The following is a 21328-nucleotide window of genomic DNA, read 5'->3' on the forward strand; positions in this document are numbered from 1 at the left end:
AGAGAAGGGTAAGGATTAAAATGCCAGAGTTCAGCGGAGCTCTGTGCAAAGCAATAAATGGCTGTTGATGGTTATGATACTCCCATCAGCTGTGGAAATTAGTAGATTGGTACATAATTAATTTGTGAGGTACTTAAAATTTTGGAACACTACACTAAGAAAATAAGAGAAAAGACCAAATAAATAAAATGAGAAATGAAAGTGGTGACATTACAAGAGATGCTTCAGAAATGAAAAAAATGAAAAAGAACTATTATGAATAATTATATGGCAACAAATTGGATAACCTAGAGGAAATGGATAAATGCCTAAAAAAATGCAACTTACGGAGGGAGGAGCCAAGATGGCCGAATAGGAACAGCCCCGGTCTACAGCTCCCAGCGTGAGCGACGCAGAAGATGGGTGATTTCTGCATTTCCATCTGAGGTACCGGGTTTATCTCACTAGGAGTGTCAGACAGTGGGCGCAGGTCAGTGGGTGTGCGCACCATGCGTGAGCCCAAGCAGGGCGAGGCATTGCCTCACTTGGGAAGCGCAAGGGGTCAGGGAGTTCCTTTTCTGAGTCAAAGAAAGGGGTGACGGACGGCACCTGGAAAATCGGGTCACTCCCACCCGAATACTGCGCTTTTCCGACGGGCTTAAAAAACGGCGCACCACGAGATTATATCCCGCACCTGGCTCGGAGGGTCCTACGCCCACGGAGTCTCGCTGATTGCTAGCACAGCAGTCTGAGATCAAACTGCAAGGCGGCAGCGAGGCTGGGGGAGGGGCGCCCGCCATTGCCCAGGCTTGCTTAGGTAAACAAAGCAGCCGGAAAGCTCGAACTGGGTGGAGCCCACCACAGCTCAAGGAGGCCTGCCTGCCTCTGTAGGCTCCACCTCTGGGGGCAGGGCACAGACAAACAAAAAGACAGCAGTAACCTCTGCAGACTTAAATGTCCCTGTCTGACAGCTTTGAAGAGAGCAGTGGTTCTCCTAGCACGCAGCTGGAGATCTGAGAACGGGCAGACTGCCTCCTCAAGTGGGTCCCTGACCCCTGACCCCCGAGCAGCCTAACTGGGAGGCACTCCCCAGCAGGGGCAGACTGACACCTCACACGGTCGGGTACTCCAACAGACCTGCAGCTGAGGGTCCTGTCTGTTAGAAGGAAAACTAACAAACAGAAAGGACATCCACACCAAAAACCCATCTGTACATCACCATCATCAAAGACCAAAAGTAGATAAAACCACAAAGATGGGGAAAAAACAGAACAGAATAACTGGAAACTCTAAAAAGCAGAGCGCCTCTCCTCCTCCAAAGGAATGCAGTTCCTCACCAGCAACGGAACAAAGCTGGATGGAGAATGACTTTGACGAGCTGAGAGAAGAAGGCTTCAGACGATCAAATTACTCTGAGCTACGGGAGAACATTCAAACCAAAGGCAAAGAAGTTGAAAACTTTGAAAAAAATTTAGAAGAATGTATAACTAGAATAACCAATACAGAGAAGTGCTTAAAGGAGCTGATGGAGCTGAAAACCAAGGCTCGAGAACTACGTGAAGAATGCAGAAGCCTCAGGAGCCGATGCGATCAACTGGAAGAAAGGGTATCAGCGATGGAAGATGAAATGAATGAAATGAAGTGAGAAGGGAAGTCTAGAGAAAAAAGAATAAAAAGAAATGAGCAAAGCCTCCAAGAAATATGGGACTATGTGAAAAGACCAAATCTACGTCTGATTGGTGTACCTGAAAGTGATGGGGAGAATGGAACCAAGTTGGAAAACACTTTGCAGGATATCATCCAGGAGAACTTCCCCAATCTAGCAAGGCAGGCCAACCTTCAGATTCAGGAAATACAGAGAACGCCACAAAGATACTCCTCGAGAAGAGCAACTCCAAGACACATAATTGTCAGATTCACCAAAGTTGAAATGAAGGAAAAAATGTTAAGGGCAGCCAGAGAGAAAGGTCGGGTTACCCTCAAAGGGAAGCCCATCAGACTAACAGCGGATCTCTCAGCAGAAACCCTACAAGCCAGAAGAGAGTGGGGGCCAATATTCAACATTCTTAAAGAAAAGAATTTTCAACCCAGAATTTCATATCCAGCCAAACTAAGCTTCATAAGTGAAGGAGAAATAAAATCCTTTACAGACAAGCAAATGCTGAGAGATTTTGTCACCACCAGGCCTGCCTTACAAGAGCTCCTGAAGGAAGCACTAAACATGGAAAGGAACAACCGGTACCAGCCACTGCAAAATCATGCCAAAATGTAAAGACCATCGAGACTAGGAAGAAACTGCATCAACTAACAAGCAAAATAACCAGCTAACATCATAATGACAGGATCAAATTCACACATAACAATATTAACTTTAAATGTAAATGGACTAAATGCTCCAATTAAAAGACACAGACTGGCAAATTGGATAAAGAGTCAAGACCCATCAGTGTGCTGTATTCAGGAAACCCATCTCATGTGCAGAGACACACATAGGCTCAAAATAAAAGGATGGAGGAAGATCTACCAAGCCAATGGAAAACAAAAAAAGGCAGGGGTTGCAATCCTAGTCTCTGATAAAACAGACTTTAAACCAACAAAGATCAAAAGAGACAAAGAAGGCCATTACATAATGGTAAAGGGATCAATTCAACAAGAAGAGCTAACTATCCTAAATATATATGCACCCAATACAGGAGCACCAAGATTCATAAAGCAAGTCCTGAGTGACCTACAAAGAGACTTAGACTCCCACACATTAATAATGGGAGACTTTAACACCCCACTGTCAACATTAGACAGATCAACGAGACGGAAAGTCAACAAGGATACCCAGGAATTGAACTCAGCTCTGCACCAAGCGGACCTAATAGACATCTACAGAACTCTCCACCCCAAATCAACAGAATATACATTCTTTTCAGCACCACACCACACCTATTCCAAAATTGACCACATACTGGGAAGTAAAGCTCTCCTCAGCAAATGTAAAAGAACAGAAATTATAACAAACTATCTCTCAGACCACAGTGCAATCAAACTAGAACTCAGGATTAAGAATCTCACTCAAAACCACTCAACTACATGGAAACTGAACAACCTGCTCCTGAATGACTACTGGGTACATAACAAAATGAAGGCAGAAATAAAGATGTTCTTTGAAACCAACGAGAACAAAGACACAACATACCAGAATCTCTGGAATGCATTCAAAGCAGTGTGTAGAGGGAAATTTATAGCACTAAATGCCCACAAGAGAAAGCAGGAAAGATCCAAAATTGACACCCTAACATCACAATTAAAAGAACTAGAAAAGCAAGAGCAAACACATTCAAAAGCTAGCAGAAGGCAAGAAATAACTAAGATCAGAGCAGAACTGAAGGAAATAGAGACAGAAAAAACCCTTCAAAAAATTAATGAATCCAGGAGCTGGTGTTTTGAAAGGATCAACAAAATTGATAGACCGCTAGCAAGACTAATAAAGAAAAAAAGAGAGAAGAATTAAATAGACGCAATAAAAAATGATAAAGGAGATATCACCACCGATCCCACAGAAATACAAACTACCATCAGGGAATACTACAAACACCTCTATGCAAATAAACTAGAAAATCTAGAAGAAATGGATAAATTCCTGGACACATACACTCTACCAAGACTAAACCAGGAAGAAGTTGAATCTCTGAATAGACCAATAACAGGAGCTGAAATTGTGGCAATAATCAATAGCTTACCAATCAAAAAGAGTCCAGGACCAGATGGATTCACAGCCGAATTCTACCAGAGGTTCAAGGAGGAACTGGTACCATTCCTTCTGAAACTATTCCAATCAATAGAAAAAGAGGGAATCCTCCCTAACTCATTTTATGAGGCCAGCATCATTCTGATACCAAAGCCAGGCAGAGACACAACAAAAAAAGAGAATTTTAGACCAATATCCTTGATGAACATTGATGCAAAAATCCTCAATAAAATCCTGGCAAAACGAATCCAGCAGCACATCAAAAAGCTTATCCACCATGATCAAGTGGGCTTCATCCCTGGGATGCGAGGCTGGTTCAATATACGCAAATCAATAAATGTAATCCAGCATATAAACAGAGCCAAAGACAAAAACCACGATTATCTCAATAGATGCAGAAAAAGCCTTTGACAAAATTCAACAACCCTTCATGCTAAAAACTCTCAATAAATTAGGTATTGATGGGACGTATTTCAAAATAATAAGAGCTATCTATGACAAACCCACAGCCAATATCATACTGAATGGGCAAAAACTGGAAGCATTCCCTTTGAAAACTGGCACAAGACAGGGATGCCCTCTCTCACCACTCCTATTCAACATAGTGTTGGAAGTTCTGGCCAGGGCAATCAGGCAGGAGAAGGAAATAAAGGGTATTCAATTAGGAAAAGAGGAAGTCAAATTGTCCCTGTTTGCAGACGACATGATTGTATATCTAGAAAACCCCATTGTCTCAGCCCAAAATCTCCTTAAGCTGATAAGCAACTTCAGCAAAGTCTCAGGATACAAAATCAATGTACAAAAATCACAAGCATTCTTATACACCAACAACAGACAAACAGAGAGCCAAATCACGAGTGAACTCCCATTCACAATTGCTTCAAAGAGAATAAAATACATAGGAATCCAATTTACAAGGGATGTGAAGGACCTCTTCAAGGAGAACTACAAACCACTGCTCAAGGAAATAAAAGAGGATACAAACAAATGGAAGAACATTCCATGCTCATGGGTAGGAAGAATCAATATCGTGAAAATGGCCATACTGCCCAAGGTAATTTACAGATTCAATGCCATCCCCATCAAGCTACCAATGACTTTCTTCACAGAATTGGAAAAAACTACTTTAAAGTTCATATGGAACCAAAAAAGAACCCGCATCGCCAAGTCAATCCTAAGCCAAAAGAACAAAGCTGGAGGCATCACACTACCTGACTTCAAACTATACTACAAGGCTACAGTAACCAAAACAGCATGGTACTGGTACCAAAACAGAGATATAGATCAATGGAACAGAACAGAGCCCTCAGAAATAACGCCACATATCTACAACTATCTGATCTTTGACAAACCTGACAAAAACAAGAAATGGGGAAAGGATTCCCTGTTTAACAAATGGTGCTGGGAAAACTGGCTAGCCATATGTAGAAAGCTGAAACTGGATCCCTTCCTTACACCTTATACAAAAATCAATTCTCAATTCAAGATGGATTAAAGACTTAAACGTTAGACCTAAAACCATAAAAACCCTAGAAGAAAACCTAGGCATTACCATTCAGGACATAGGCATGGGCAAGGACTTCATGTCTAAAACACCAAAAGCAATGGCAACAAAAGCCAAAATTGACCAATGAGATCTAATTAAACTGAACAGCTTCTGCACAGCAAAAGAAACTACCATCAGAGTGAACAGGCAACCTACAAAATGGGAGAAAATTTTCGCAACCTACTCATCTGACAAAGGGCTAATATCCAGAATCTACAATGAACTCAAACAAATTTACAAGAAAAAAACAAACAACCCCATCAAAAAGTGGGTGAAGGACATGAACAGACACTTCTCAAAAGAAGACATTTATGCAGCCAAAAAACACATGAAAAAATGCTCACCATCACTGGCCATCAGAGAAATGCAAATCAAAACCACAATGAGATACCATCTCACACCAGTTAGAATGGCAATCATTAAAAAGTCAGGAACCAACGGGTGCTGGAGAGGATGTGGAGAAATAGGAACACTTTTACACTGTTGGTGGGACTGTAAACTAGTTCAACCCTTGTGGAAGTCAGTGTGGCAATTCCTCAGGGATCTAGAACTAGAAATACCATTTGACCCAGCCATCCCATTACTGGGTATATACCCAAAGGACTCTAAATCATGCTGCTATAAAGACACATGCACACGTATGTTTATTGCGGCACTATTCACAATAGCAAAGACTTGGAACCAACCCAAATGTCCAACAATGATAGACTGGATTAAGAAAATGTGGCACATATACACCATGGAATACTATGCAGCCATAAAAAATGATGAGTTCATGTCCTTTGTAGGGACATGGATGAAATTGGAAATCATCATTCTCAGTAAACTATCGCAAGAACAAAAAACCAAACACCGCATGTTCTCACTCATAGGTGGGAATTGAACAATGAGAACACATGGACACAGGAAGAGGAACATCACACTCTAGGGACTGTTGTGGGGTAGGGGGAGTGGGGAGGGATAGCTTTAGGAGATATACCTAATGCTAAATGACGAGTTAATGGGTGCAGCACACCAGCATGGCACATGTATACATATGTAACTAACCTGCACATTGTGCACATGTACCCTGAAACTTAAAGTATAATAATAATAAAATAAAAAAAAAGTTGCTGCTATCTTAGAGAAATACACAGCTGAGATACACAATGTTCCTATTCTTACAGCAATATGAACATCAGCTAAACTGGAAAAGCTGCACTATAATAAACTGTCTTCAACACACACACACACACAAAATAGACCATTAGCCAGACTAATAAAGAAGAAAAGAGAGAAGAATCAAATAGACACAATAAAAAATAATAAAGGGGTTATCACCACTGATCCCACAGAAATACAAACTACCATCAAGAATTCTATAAACATCTCTACACAAATAAACTAGAAAATCTAGAAGAAATGGATAAATTCCTGGACACATACACCCTCCCAAGACTAAATCAGGAAGAAGTCGAATCCGTGGATAGACCAATCACAAGTTCTGAAATTGAGGCAGTAATTAATAGCCTACCAACCAAAAAAAGCCCAGGTCCAGATGGATTTACAGCTGAATTCTACCAGAGATACAAAGAGGAGCTGGTACCATTCCTTCTGAAACTATTCAAAACAGCAGAAAAAGAGGGACTCCTCCCTAATTCATTTTATGAGGCCAGCATGATCCTGCTACAAAACCTGGCAGAGACACAACAAAAAAAGAAAATTTCAGGCCAATATCCCCAATGAATGTCGATGCAAAAATCCTCAATAAACTAGTGGCAAACAGAATCCAGCAGCAAAAAGCTTCTCCACCACGATCGAGTCAGCTTCATCCCTAGGATACAAGGCTGGTTCAACATATGCAAATCAATAAACGTAATCCATCATATAAACAGAACCAAGGACAAAAACCACATAATTATCTCAATAGATGCAGGAAAGTCCCTCAATAAAATTCAACACCGCTTCATGCTAAAAACACTCAAACTACATATCAATGGAACATATCTCAAAATAATAAGAGCTATTTTTGACAAACCCACAACCAATATCATACTGAATGAGCAAAAGCTAGAAGCATTCCCTTTGAAAACCAGCACAAGACAAGGATGTCCTCTCTCACCACTCCTATTCAACATAGTATTGGAAGTTCTGGCCAGGGCAATCAGGCAAAATAAAGAACTAAAGGGTATTCAAATAGGAAGAGAGAAAGTCAAATTGTCTCTGTTTGCAGATGACATGATTGTATATTTAGAAAACCCCATCGTCTCAGCCCAAAAACTCCTTAAGCAGATAAGCAACTTCAGCAAATTCTCAGGATACAAAATAAATGTGCAAAACTCACAAGCATTCCTATACACCAATAATAGACAAACAGAGGCAAATCATGAGTGAACTCTCACTCACAATTACTACAAAGAGAATAATATACCTAGGAATACAACTTACAGGGGATATGAAGGACCTCTTCACGGAGAACTACAAACCACTGCTCAAGGAAATAAGAGAGGACACAAACAAACAGAAAAACAGTCCATGCTCATGGATAGGAAGACTCAATATCGTGAAAATGGCCATACTGCCCAAAGTAATATATAGATTCAATGCTATTCCCATCAAGCTACCATTGACTTTCTTCACAGAATTAGAAAAAACTACTTTAAATTTCATATGGAACCAAAAAAGAGCCCATATAGCCAAGACAATCCTAAGCAAAACGAAGAAAGTTGGAGGCATCATGCTACCTGACTTCAAACTATACTACAAGGCTACAGTAACCAAACAGCATGGTACTGGTACCAAAACAGATATATAGACCAATGGAACAGAACAGAGTCCTCAGAAATAACGCCACACATCCACAACCACCTGATCTTTGACAAACCTAACAAAAACAGCCAATGGGGAAAGGATTCCCTATTTAATAAATGGTGCTGGGAAAACTGGCTAGCCATATGTAGAAAGCTGAAACTGGATCCCTTCCTTTCACCTTACACAAAAATTAACTCAAGATGGATTAAAGACTTAAACATAAGACCTAAAACCACGAAAACCCTAGAAGAAAACCTAGGCAATGCCATTCAGGACATAGGCATGGGCAAAGACTTCATAACTAAAACACCAAAAGCAAGGGCAACAAAACCCAAAATTGACAAGTAGGACCTAATTAAACTAAAGAGCTCCTGCACAGCAAAAGAAACTATCATCAAAATGAATAGGCAACATACAGAATGGAAGAAAATTTTTGCAATCTATCCATCTGAAAAAGAGCTACTATCCAGAATCTACAAGGAACTTAAACACATTTACATGAAAAAAAAACCCATTAAAAAGTAGGCAAAGGATATGAAAAGATACTTCTCAAAAGAAGACATTTATGTGGCCAAGAAACTATGAAAAAAAGCTTATCATCACTGGTCATTAGAGAATGCAAATCAAAACCACAATGAGATACCACCTCATGCCAGTTAGAATGGCGATCCTTAAAAAGTCAGGAAACAACAGATGCTGGAGAGGATGTGGAGAAATAAGGATGCTTTTACACTGTTGGTGGGAGTGTAAATTACTTCAACCACTGTGGAAGACAGTGTGACAATTCCTCAAGTATCTAGAACCAGAAATACCATTTGACCCAGCAATCCCATTACTGGGTATATACCCAAAGGATTATAAATCATTCTACTATGAAGACACATGCACATGTATGTTTATTGCAGCACAATTCATAATAGCAAAGACTTGGAACCAACCCAAATGACCATTAATGATAGATTGGATAAAGAAACTGTGGCACATATACCCTATGGAATATTATGCAGCCATAAAAAGAATGAGTTCATGTCCTTTGCAAGGACATGGATGAAGCTGGAAACCATAATTCTCAGCAAACTAACACAGGAACAGAAAACCAAACACTGCATGTTCTCATTCATAAGGTGGAGTTGAATAATGTGAATACATGGACACAGGGTGGGGAACATCATACACCAGGGCCTGTTGCGGGGTGGGGGGCTAGGGGAAGGAGAGCATTAGGAGAAATACCTAATGTAGACGACGGGTTGATGGGTACACCCAACCACCATGGCACATGTATACCTATGTAGCAAACCTGCACATTCTGCACATGTATATCCCAGAACTTAAAGTATAATAAAATAAATAAATAAATAAATAAATAAATAATAAAAACACAAAAAATCATAATGGATGGTTACTCTGCTCACTACCTAGGTCCAATGTACCCATGTAACAATCCTATACATGCATCCCTTGTATCTGAAATAAAAGCTGAAAACTTTTTTAAAAGTACACATACAAAAATTTTAAAAAGCTTAAGAACAACAACAATGAAAAAAAAAAACCATAACGTGGAAATTCTGGATTGCATTCAGAGACTGTGTAGATGGAATGGAAGTCTGAGCTGGTGGAACTGCTCTCAAGACAGGCGTAGTTTTATTTTGAGCTGAAAAGGTTCCGGCTTGAGTAGTAGCCATCCTGTTGATGTTTTAAATTCTACTCATACTAATATGGTTCCCTGTGCCTGGGAAAAACTGTGTATAAACCAACACAATTTCCACTTGTTGTGTAATAGGAATATCTGCTACAGCAAAATTTCTTTTGAAAAGGGAGAAAACAATCTTATTTTCTATTTCTACTGAATAAACCAGCTTGCAATCATCTGAAAAGAATAAACTTCCTTAATTTGATGCCATTATACATTTAACCTTTGGGAATTTGTGAAGTGGAAGCACTTTCAAGTTCCTGCTCTGGAAGAGGACTGTGAATACTATTTTAGCCATCAGCCACGTAGAAGCTGTAACTACTAAAACAATGCAAATTATGTCATCCAGTCCAAGGTGTCTAGATGATAAGAGCAAGGTACAAGTGAGTGGCATTTTATGATTTAGCCTCATAAGTTAGATGGTAGCACTTCCACTATACACTATTAGTCAAGGCAGTCACAAAGTTATGTCCAGGATGCATGGTAGGGGACAAAGATCCTACCGCTTAAAAGAAGGGACATGAAGATACCCTTGTAAGGAGATCACGTGGGATGTAAGATAAAGCTTTTGGCCTATTTGTAAAATACAGTCTGCCACAGTTTGCTTTCTGGCCATATTTCTCATGCCTCCCACATGCAAAATACATTCAAATCACACCCCTAGAATTCTCAAGTCTCAAACTATTAAAACATCAGCTTGAAGTCCAGGAGCTTGTCATCTAAATCAGGTTCAGGTGAAGATGAGATGCCTTGGTGTGGTTCATTTGGGTGCAGCTCCTTAAATATCACTCCTTTTGATTAGAGCTCTGTTAAAGAGACAATCTGCACCCCCCCCCCCGCCCACACACACACCCAACGCACAGTGATAAGAGGCATAAGATGATCCCTATAGGAAAATCCTACTCGAAAGGGAGGAAGAGGCAAGCACACTGCAATAATCTAGAAAAATTCTGAAATGCAGTTTGGTATATGCTTCCAGTTCCTTATCAAGATTCAGTCCTACTGTCTGGGAGTTCTCTGTGAATTTCAAATTCCAAAACACATCTGGCTTAAGGGTGCAGTAAAGGATTGTGAAGCTGCACTCAGAGACTATAAGAAAAAGATGTGATAAACACTCCCATTGCCTATCAATGACTGAGCTCTTCAGAGGATGCTGTTGTTGCTTCTGTTTCCCAAGATGATCAGAGTTCAGGAAGTGGAATTCCAAGCAGCTCAGAGGTAAATGAGATAAGGGTTAAATGGTTCTGTAACCATTTCTTCTGCCCCTGCACTGACAGATTATCCCAAAAGAACACAGTCATGAAGAGTAAAGAGCACAGTCAAGTGTTGCAGGACATAACTTTGTCAAATACTTCATATGTGCCAGGTGTTGTGCTAAAGGCTTTACTGGCATTATCTCATTCAATCCTTCTAAAACTTTATGAGGTAGTTACTAATCTACCTATTTTACAGATGAGAAAAATTGAGGCTTAGAGATATTAATCAGTGTGCTGAAGGTTTGCAAAGTTAGAAAATGGTAACAAAATTGTGAAATGACTTTCTCCATCAATTTGCTTGTTTTCGTCATTAGAGTGGACATGAAAAAAATTTAATCTCTACATCAGCAGTCCCCAACCTTTTTGGTGTCAGGGACCAGTTCCATGAAAGACCATTTTTCCACAGACTGCGGGGATGGGGAGGGGATGATTCGAGCACACTACATTTATTGTGCACTTTGTTACTACTATTATTACATTGTAATATATGATGAAATAATTACACAATTCACATAATGCAGAATATGTGGGAGCCCTGAGCTTGTTTTCCTGCAACTAGATGGTCCCATCTGGGGGTGATGGAAGACAGTGACACCTGAAATGTGTTGCTTATGTCCAGTCTACTCCATAATCTCATTATGGTTTCTCTCACTACAAAAAACCCTGCTTCATAAAGATAGGATGTTAGAAATGGAAGCAGGCTTTTCAGTGCTTTTGTGGCAATCTCAGGCTACCACTTTGACTTTAGTCCAGAACATACGAAGATTTGAAGTTGTCTCAAACATACTTTTAAGGCCACCATCATTTGCAATCTCAAGCAGTTGATCCTCTTCTAGCACAAAGTTGATTTACCTGGCTTATTCACAAATGGGTTGCAGATCCATTCCTTCCTAGTTTGGGGGTCTTTTGTGGTTGGGAAGTAATGCTCAAACTCTTTTGAAAACTGAGATGGGTGATCATGCACCGGCTGGAAGAAAGAAGGCCCTGGCTCAGTCTCTTTCAAAATCTCTGCTAATGTTTGAAACATGTCAAAAATCCCAGTGTTCCCTTGTCACCCCCATAACTCCAGCTTGGCTTTGAATGCAGCCACTTTATCTGCTGACTTGAACACAGTTGTTGTTCTCCTCTGAAGTGATAGATTGAGTTCATTGAGCAGGTTGAATATGTCACACAAGGAAGCAAGTTTTGAGACCCATTCTGTGTCACTGAAATGTGCTGCCAATGGTGACTGTTTTTCTAAAAGAAATCTCTGGAGGCTCATAACTCAGAAACTCTGGCCAGTGATCTACCTTTAGAAAGCCACCTCACTTCTGTGTATAAGAGAAGACACGTGTGCTCTGCGTCCATCTTCTCACAGAGCTGCGTGAACAGATGTTAGTTAAGGGTATGTACTTTAATGTGGTTGGTAATTTTAATCACATCCTGCAAAACGTTAAGTTCAGGTGACATTTTTCAGCTAACCAGCATTTTTCTATGGATGACACACTGCATAGACTCACATTCACAAGCGACCTCTTTGACCCAAGCAGTGAAACCAGAAAGCCATCTAGTCATGGCAGCCACTATGTCCTTGCATAAACTGACACAAAATGATCAATTCAGTTTCCAGACATGTAATCATTCAAAGACTTAAATAGTTCTGCAGCTGTGGTATTGGTTGGCAACAAAAGTACCCAAAACATACCCTTATGCACATCCTCTTGAAAAATATGTCACACAAAAACAAATATTGTTGCCTTGTTGTCAACATCAGTAGACTTGTCAACCTGGATTGTGTACTCCAGTGACTCATTAATCCTCTCTAACAATTGTGCCTCAATATCCTCTGCTATTTCATCGATGCCTCTAGTTACGGTACCAACCAAAAGAGGAACACGTGCCAGCTTTTGAACTGCAGCCCCTCCTAAAAGTTCATGACAAATGTCCTCAGCAGCAGGCAGGATCAGCTCTTTTTCAACAGTAAAGGGCTTCTTAGCTTTAGCAATGTGGTTAGCCACTAAGAATGATGCTCTCAGTGCAGACACATTTGATGAAGTGGTGGCCTTCAGTAATTGCTTCTGTTCTTCATGCTCACTTTTTTTCTTTGGGAAAACTCCAAAGACTTGTGTTTTAATGCAGGGTGCTTGGTCTCCACATGGCAAAGCAGTTTTGAAGGTTTTATGTCTTCATTGGATAGCCGGTTGCCACACATTATACAACGTGGGCTTGGAGAACGTGAATCACCTGTTGCAATGAACCCATAATTTAAGTAGGACTCTTGGTATTTTTTTAATGCAGCTTTCTTTCTGTTGGCAGTCGTAGAGTCTTCTGCTGTGTCATCATTGGGTCTTTCCCCTTTTCAAATAAGTTTTCCAGTGACAACTGATTTTTACTCATTTGGGTTTGGGTTAGCTTGTGGGCTTACCAAAACTGACTGAGACAAGTGGGTAGCGTGGGAAAGAGGACTGCAGGCCACGCACTCCACGTGAGGACTAAAATAAGTGTTGGATTCTAACTTCAAGCCTGCCACCAGATGCAGCTGTACAATTGAAGTACATCAACTCAGTTACCACTATAAAGCCTACCACCAGATGCAGCTTCATTGTCACTTGCCGCTCACTGATAGGGTTTTGATATGAGATCACAAGCAATTTATTATGGTCTCTGTGCAGTCAAACCTCTGCTAGTGTTAATCTGTATTTGCAGCCACTCCCCAGCGTTAGCATCACTGCCTCAGCTCCACCTCAGATCATCAGGCATTAGATTCTCATAAGGAGCACGCAACCTAGATCCTTCGCATGCAGAGTTCACAGCAGGTTTTGAACTACTATGAGAATCTAATGCTGTGGCTGATCTGACCGGAGGCAGAGCTCAGGCAGTAATATGAATGATGGGGAGCAGCTGTAAATAGAAATGAAGCTTCGCTCACTTGCCCACCACTCACCTCCTGCTGTGCAACATTGTTCCTAACAGGACAGAGATGATATCAGTCTACAGCTCAGGGGTTGGTGACCCCTGATCTACTTTGTCCAATGAAAACTGAAAGTGTAAAATTGGTGAACTGTATCAACGTCAATTTCCTGGTCATTATGTTGTACTAGAGTTATGCAAGCTATTACTACTGAGATAAACTAGATAAAGTGTATATGAGATTTCTGTGTTATTTCTTACAATAGCATGTTAAGTTACAATTATCTCAAAATAGAAAGCTTAATTAGAAAGAAAACTAAAACTGTGCTCCAAAGATAGTATCTCCAGACTTCTCTTATACCTTTTTGAGGGACAATGCAATACTTTGGACAATGCAACAGGAAAACTGAAGGCTAATTTAATAATTATTATTTCACAATTACTTTATCCATTTAGGCATTTCATCTTTCTTCTGTTGTCCTATTATTTTAGTATTTTTAAATGATAGCTTGTAATTATTGAGTAATGATGAAATAATTCATAGAATGATAAAATATCAAAATATTTTAACATGTACAGAAGGATCCCAAAAGGTAGCTTAGATTCCAAAAGGTAGCTTAGATTATAAAGGGATCCAATGGGCTCATATGGTAATCGTAAGATAGAATGAGCTTTATTATATATATAGGAAAATTTATAAATATATAATATATATTTATAAATGTATATTTATAAATTTATTTATACATTTAATACATAAATTCATTTATAAATATATATAATTTATAAATTAAAATTTTATCTTGGTTCTTTGGAAGATCTCTAATAAAGAACAAAAGTCATTGAAATATCAATCCTTACAAATATTTAGAACCCCTCTATAAAGAAACTCAAATTAAAATTGAGTGTAGCAGTCCACAATGGTGTACTGAGAATTAAGATAGAAACCCAAACTCTTAACAGGGCCTACAAGGCCCTACATGGTCTCATGCCTGACACCCTCACCTTCTGAGCCTCTGCCTGCATTTCACTGTGTCTGCTCCAGCTACACTGGCCTCTGTTCCATGTTCAGTTTTGCCACTGGCCACTGCACAAGCAGTTCCTTCTATCTCAGGGAAAGTCTTTGCTGACCCCCTAGTTCAGGTCAGTTTCCTTTTCATAAGCTCTTACAAAACTGTTGATTACCTTTGGAGTACTCGTCTACATTTGTAATGATTCATTCACTAATGGCCTTTATTGATTGATTAATGCCTGTGTCCTCCCAGTAGGCCAAAAGCCCTATGAGAGGAGGGCCTGTTTTCACACCACTGTATCCACAAATGTCAGCATTTACCTTCTCTCCTTCTTGAGACTGCTCTAAAATTATGTAAAGGAATTAAAGTACCAAGAAAGGATCAAAATAACAGGATATGAGCCCAGTGTAGCCTGTAGATGTGCAATGTTGTCTCTTAGTACTTAGAAAAACATTTCACTGGCCAGGAGTGGTGGCTCACAATTGTAATCCCAGCACTTTGGGAGGCCGAGGCGGGTGGATCACCTGAGGTCAGCAGTTCGAGACGAGCCTGACCAACATGGTGAAACCCCATCTCTACTAAATACAAAAAACTAGCCGGGCGTGGTGCCGCATGCCTGTAATTCAAGCTACTTGGGAGGCTGAGGCAGGAGAACTGCTTGAACCCAGGAGGCGGAGGTTTCAGTGAGCTGAGATTGCACCATTGCACTCCAGCCTGGGCAACAAGAGTGAAAACTCTGTCAAAAAAAAAAAAAGGGGGAAAACATTTCACTTTATTTTTACTTAAAAGTCAGTATTTTTTACACCAAGATTTAAATTTCTGGCTTCTCTTGATTTAAAAAAATATATTGGACCTACGTTCCCTTGAACTGTCTAGAGCTAGTAGTAACTGCCCCAACTCACTTCTTCCTAAAATTTGCTTCTCAAATTTGCTCCATACCTTGCCTCAGGGATGGTGCTGTTATCTCTAAAGAGCCCCAGAGAGCCCTGGACTTGAAAATTATTGTGCTCTTCAGGGATTATGGTAGATATTTATTTATTTATTTTAGATGGAGTTTCGCTCTTGTTGCCCAGGCTGGAGTGCAATGGCGTGATCTCGGCTCACTGCAACCTCCGCCTCCTGGGTTCAAGCGATTCTCCTGTGTCAGACTCCTGAGTAGCTGGGATTACAGGCGCCCACCAAAATGCTTGGCTAATTTTTTGTGTTTTTAGTAGAGACAAGGTTTCACTATGTTGGCCAGGCTGGTCTCGAACTCCTGACTTCAGGTGATCCACCTGCCTCAGCCTCCCAAAGTGCTGGGATTATAACCTATGCCTCCCTGGTTCAAGCAATTCTCCTGCCTCAGCCTCCCAAGTAGCTGGGATTACAGGCACCTGCCACCATACCTGGCTAATTTTTTGTATTTTTAGTAGAGATGAAGTTTTGCCATGTTGGCCAGGCTGGTCTCGAACTCCTGACCTCGGGTGATCCACCCACCTCGGCCTCCCAAAGTGCTGAGATTACAGGTGTGAGCCACCACACCCGGCCATGGTAGATATTTTAATGAAATGTTTGTTGAAAGGATAAAGTTGTGACCACAAGCCCCTATGAGGTAACACCTAGCTGCAGTGCCACATATGAACACAAGGTGACAGTGTGCTCTCAGGAATCTGCATAAACCCAGCACAGTTGGTGAGGATCTGTAGTAAATAGGATGACTTGTCCCACCCAACTGTGAGAGAGGGCAACTACCAAAGACCAACAGCAACATAGCATGTGTCCTAGAGGGTCACAGGGGAAAAAACTAAGAAGGAAGGAAGCTTCAAGGCCAGGGATCCAGCACAGCAGAGATGGGACTGCAGGGAGGGAATTTAACTCACCCCTGTCTTTGCTGTCCTTAGCATGATCCACTCTTCCCCTGAGTGCTGAATTTCAAGGCCATGAAGCCATGGTCAAGAGACTTGACTGGGAACGGGCCTTAAGCTTTCAGTGACTCCCTTCTAAATCTAGAGCAGTGGTTCTCAAAGTGTGGTCTCTGCACCAGCAGCATCACTTGTCAGAATCTGCAGAAATGCAGATTCCCAGGCCCTGCCCAACCCTACTGACCCAGGCATTCTAGGATGGAGCCCAGAAACCTATATATAATCAGATCCCTGGGTGGTTCCAAAGCAGCTAAATGTGAGAAGCACAGCTCTAAAGTCTCATTTTCCATCTCTTCCCACAGCCACACCCAGTGAATCCCAATCCTCAAAATACACGGACCTCAACACTCCTGCCTCTAGTTGAGACTGAAACATCCATCTCTTCCTCTCCTGCTTTGCTCTTATTCTGCCTTTGGGACTCAACTCAAGCCACCTTTCTTCTGGAACACTGTGTTAGACTCCCCAAGCTGATTTAGGTAGTGCTCCTCCCAGCCTCTGCCTTCTCTCTTTTAGCAATTATTAAATGATGCTTTTAACTGTTGGCTGCTGAATGTCTTGCTCACCACAGTGTGAGCTGTCTTTACCTCCAGTGCCTGGCCAACAGAATTTTGCATATGTATTTAATGAAATAATAAACTACCATCATTTGGTTGGCAGCTTTAAAAAGGGTAATAACATCTTTTTCACCTACAGTAGAATTTTATATACACACATATCCTAACTTAATTTTATATACATATTTAAAATATATAGAATTAAATATAATCTTAATAGATTCCATATGTAATTATATGCAGATTATAAGCTCCCTGCAAGTCTAAATTTCAAAACTATGCTCTGCTGTTTCTGACATTTGTAGGACAGGCCAAGGAATTCAACAGTCAATAGCAATAGCCATTTAACCAAAGGGAAAAAAAAAACCAACAAGGAGCTTCCTGAGCAGGGGTGTGTGCAGACCAGTGCCCTCTCAATGTCTGTCTCCAGGTCTCATCCCTCTCTATGTCTGTCTCAGCTCTCGGTGGGGGAGGGCTCCCAAGCTGCAGGATGACGACATGTTGACTATGCAGCTCTGAGTGCTTAACATTGGACAAATTCCACTGTCACAGAGCTGGCCTAAGGTGGAGGTGGTACTGGACATTCTGGCAGGCATTCCACAAAGGCACATGTCGTGAGTCTCCACCACCAAGTTCTCAGAGTTTTTTGGATAATTGATGATCACAGAATACAAGGTCAATATATAAATGTCAATGCTATTTGCATATACTAGCAACAGTTGGAAATTAAAGTTAAATAAGCGATACCATTTACAATAGCATCAAAAATATCAACTGCTTAGAAATAAATCTGTCAAAAGATATGCAAGGCCCATGCATGTGAAAACTACAAAACTGCTGAGAGAAATTGAAGAAGTCCTGAAGAAATGGAGAAATTGACGATGCTCATGGATTGGAAGACTCAATTTTGTTGAGACTGCAAATATTAATACTTTGAAGCTTCAATTTGCTTTACCCCTGCCTTGTCTCACTGTCTCCTATTTGGCTTTGTATCGTCAATGTCTAGCTCTGTGCCAGGCACAAAATAGTTTGGTGTTCACTGAATACATGAACAAGGAATAAGGATTCAATTCCTTATACAGAATATAGGAATAAATATAGGAAGAGATCTCAACTACCTGGGAGTGCAATAAAAGGCTTCCTTCAAGATGCACTAGGAATTCTATAAGCTGTGATGGGAGCAGGAACCGAAGTCCTGTGAGGAGTAAAACTATATTTATCTGCTGTAGCTTGGGGGTCAGTTTGTGCAAAACAGTGACTGAAACACATATGGCCTGAACTCATGTACTGAAGGACTTTCTCACATTAGATATATTTAAGTAGTGGAGTTGACTCATTCAACATTTTAAAATATTTGTTGAACACCTGCTCTGGAACAAGGCTTGCGCTCAACGCTGGGATCAAAGTGGTAAAGACAGGAAGCATCCCTGCTTCAGCTATAAAACTGTAGTTGCTACCTTTGAGAGCCATCTTTGGGCCAGGCACAAAATCAAATTCTGTGTGTCTTTATAACAGCCTGATGAGACCGTTGTTATTAAGAACTTCACTAAATGTGAAGAAATACACTTAAACTAAGAAATTAGAGTCCCATTTTAAATGCAGGCCAAATGACTGAAAAAAAATTTAGAGTATAATTAAAAAATTAAAAGTACACACTTAAAATGTAGTTTGATAAGTTTTGACAAACGTATATATTTTTACACCACCATTGAGATATAAAACATTCTCATCATCCGAAAAGATTCCTTTGTATCCCCTTCCCAACCACTGATCTGCTTTCTAACATCGTAGTGTTTTCTAGTGTTTCTTATAGATGGAATTATACATTATGTACTCAATTCTTACTTCTTTGACTCAGCATGAATTTGGTGGTGCCCATCACTAATTCATTTTTATTACTGCTGACTTCAGACCTTTAGGGGAGAGAAGACATAAATCAAATAATCACCTAATTAAGTATTTAATTACAACAGCATCAAGTTAACCTAAGGGTAAGTACAAGTGGAAATACATTACCTTGTTTGTTAACAATTCAATCAATACGACCTTGGTGTACAGTGGGGGGCTATAGGGTCATGATTCAGCTTGTGGAAAACAAATGAAAATAAATGTTAGCGAAGAGTGACTCTAAAGAACCTCTGTCCTCACGGTAATTTTTTTAATGTGTCAGATGCTGGTGGGAGGCATTCTTCCTTAGCTCTTTACTCCCATCCCTTACACTTAACAGAGGAAAGGATCTGTAAGGCGCGTACCCCTCTACTGCCCACTGTCGACGAAAACAGCCTCGCCCTGCACCGCCACCGCCACGCATAAGGCGGTGTGTGGGCAGCTCGGACGTGGCACCTGCCCTCAGCTGCTCAATCCCGGGCGCCGCGACGGTCACGTGCACAGCGGCAGGCCTTTTTGCCCCGCCCCCGCGGCCCGGCTCCTGCGTGGGCCCGGCCCCGCCCACAGCCCGCGCAGTCCCGCGAGCCTGGCCTCGGCGGCCCCAGCTTCTAAGGAGCTCGTGAGGGCCAGGCTGCGCCTGCGTCGGGCGGCTGGTGGGCGGGGCGAGGGCCGCTGGGGCCGCGAAGTGGGGCGGCCGGGTGGGCTACAAGCCGGGTCTGGGCTGAGGGGCGCGGCTTCGCGGTGGACCCCAGCCCGGCAACGGGAAGGCGAGCTCTCCTCCACCGTCCAAAGTAAACTTTGCCGCTCCTTCCGCGGCGCTCCCGAGTCCTCGCCGCCGCCGGGCCGCCGCAGTCCGCGAAGAGCCGTCCTGCGTCAGGGCCTCCTTCCCTGCCCCGGCGCGGGGCCACTGCGCCATGGACGCCACAGCACTGGAGCGGGACGCTGTGCAGTTCGCCCGTCTGGCGGTTCAGCGCGACCACGAAGGCCGCTACTCCGAGGCGGTGTTTTATTACAAGGTAGGGCCGGGCCCGGCGCTTCGGTCGGAGTTGCTCAGTCGGAGTGCGGCCCGGGCCTGCGGCCGAGGGGCGGGATCCGGGTGCGGAGGCTAGCGGCCCCGGCTTTGCTTTTCCCTCGTCCGCCTCCCGGCCCTCCTCTTGTTGGGAGCGGCAAGCCCGAGTGCAGAGGCCGACGCTGAGGCTGCGGGGAGGCTGGGTCGCGGCTTGCAGCCGCCGCTCCTCCACCTGTAGTCCTGACTGGCAAATGCCCACCGTTGAGCCGCTTTGGGGGGCAGGTGTTAGATATGGGTAGTTAGTAGCCAATTCTTGCTGTCACTTGACTCTGATTTACAGCTAGCGGGAAATGGCCTGTGATATATATCAAAATAATGCATGCTCGTTAAATAAACTTAAAAAGAATAAAAACCATCTCCTGTCATAGCATTTGACATACAGTCATGCGTCCTTAGCGATGTGATATTTTCTGAGAAATGTGTTCTTAGGCCATTTTGTTGTTGTGCGAACACCGTAGAAAGCGCTTACACAAGCCTGAATGGTACAGCCTGTTCCACACCTAAGCTGTATGGCATGGCCTGTTGCTCCTAGGTTACAGGCCTGCGCAGCGTGTTGCTGTACTCAGTGGTGTGTGCAGTTACATGCAGTGGTAAGTATTTGTGCATCTAAACATAGAAAAGGTACAGTAAACATGCAGCATAAAAGATAAAAAAAAAATACTACACCAGTGTGGGGCACTTACCCACAAAAGGAGCTTGCAGGACTGGAAGTTGCTCTGAGTTGGTGAGTAGTGGTGAGTGAATGTGAAGGCCTGGGACATTCACTGCTCTACTCTTGTAGACTTTATAAGCAGTGTACCCTTAGGCTACGCTAAATTTTTTTAATCTTTCTTCAGTAATAAACTAACCTTAGCTTACGGTAACCCTTTTACTTTATAAACTTCTAAATTTTCTTAACTTTTTAACTCTTTTGTAATAGCTTAAAACGAACTTATTGTGCAGTTACACAAACATTTTCTTTATATCTTTATTTGGTAAGTTTTTTTGTTTCTTTTTTTTTTTTTATTCTTTAGTT

At 41.8% G+C, this 21328-nt stretch overlaps 1 protein-coding gene and 1 pseudogene across 18 annotated transcripts in view, besides 2 other annotated features; one reads left to right on the forward strand and one right to left on the reverse strand.

Annotated features, from left to right (window-relative positions):
* COL6A4P1 (collagen type VI alpha 4 pseudogene 1) overlaps nt 1-19622 on the reverse strand; it is a 40598-nt pseudogene extending 20976 nt beyond the window's left edge. Inside the window, exon 1 of the transcript NR_027927.1 lies at nt 19374-19622. The product of NR_027927.1 is annotated as a collagen type VI alpha 4 pseudogene 1 (transcript). The remainder of the gene's footprint in view (nt 1-19373) is intronic.
* Nucleotides 16430-16479: an enhancer, noted in NCBI's record as "active region_19527". NCBI's record gives its function as "activates an Ori minimal core promoter by ATAC-STARR-seq in GM12878 lymphoblastoid cells {active_cell/tissue: GM12878}" and the evidence as "EXISTENCE:reporter gene assay evidence [ECO:0000049][PMID:35858748]".
* Nucleotides 19615-20134: a silencer, noted in NCBI's record as "silent region_14101". NCBI's record gives its function as "represses an Ori minimal core promoter by ATAC-STARR-seq in GM12878 lymphoblastoid cells {active_cell/tissue: GM12878}" and the evidence as "EXISTENCE:reporter gene assay evidence [ECO:0000049][PMID:35858748]".
* CAPN7 (calpain 7) overlaps nt 19909-21328 on the forward strand; it is a 46671-nt gene continuing 45251 nt past the window's right edge. For all 17 annotated transcript variants that reach the window (NR_164767.1, NR_164761.1, NR_164765.1 and 14 more), the window contains exon 1: nt 19909-20260. Coding sequence is in view for 8 of the 17 variants with exons in the window: in NM_014296.3 (NP_055111.1) it covers nt 20159-20260 (102 nt within the window). In the remaining 9 variants the exon portion in view is untranslated. The remainder of the gene's footprint in view (nt 20261-21328) is intronic.

The sequence above is a fragment of the Homo sapiens genome, chromosome 3 (assembly GCF_000001405.40).
Source record: "Homo sapiens chromosome 3, GRCh38.p14 Primary Assembly".
In the NCBI taxonomy this organism is placed as follows: Eukaryota; Metazoa; Chordata; class Mammalia; order Primates; family Hominidae; genus Homo; species Homo sapiens.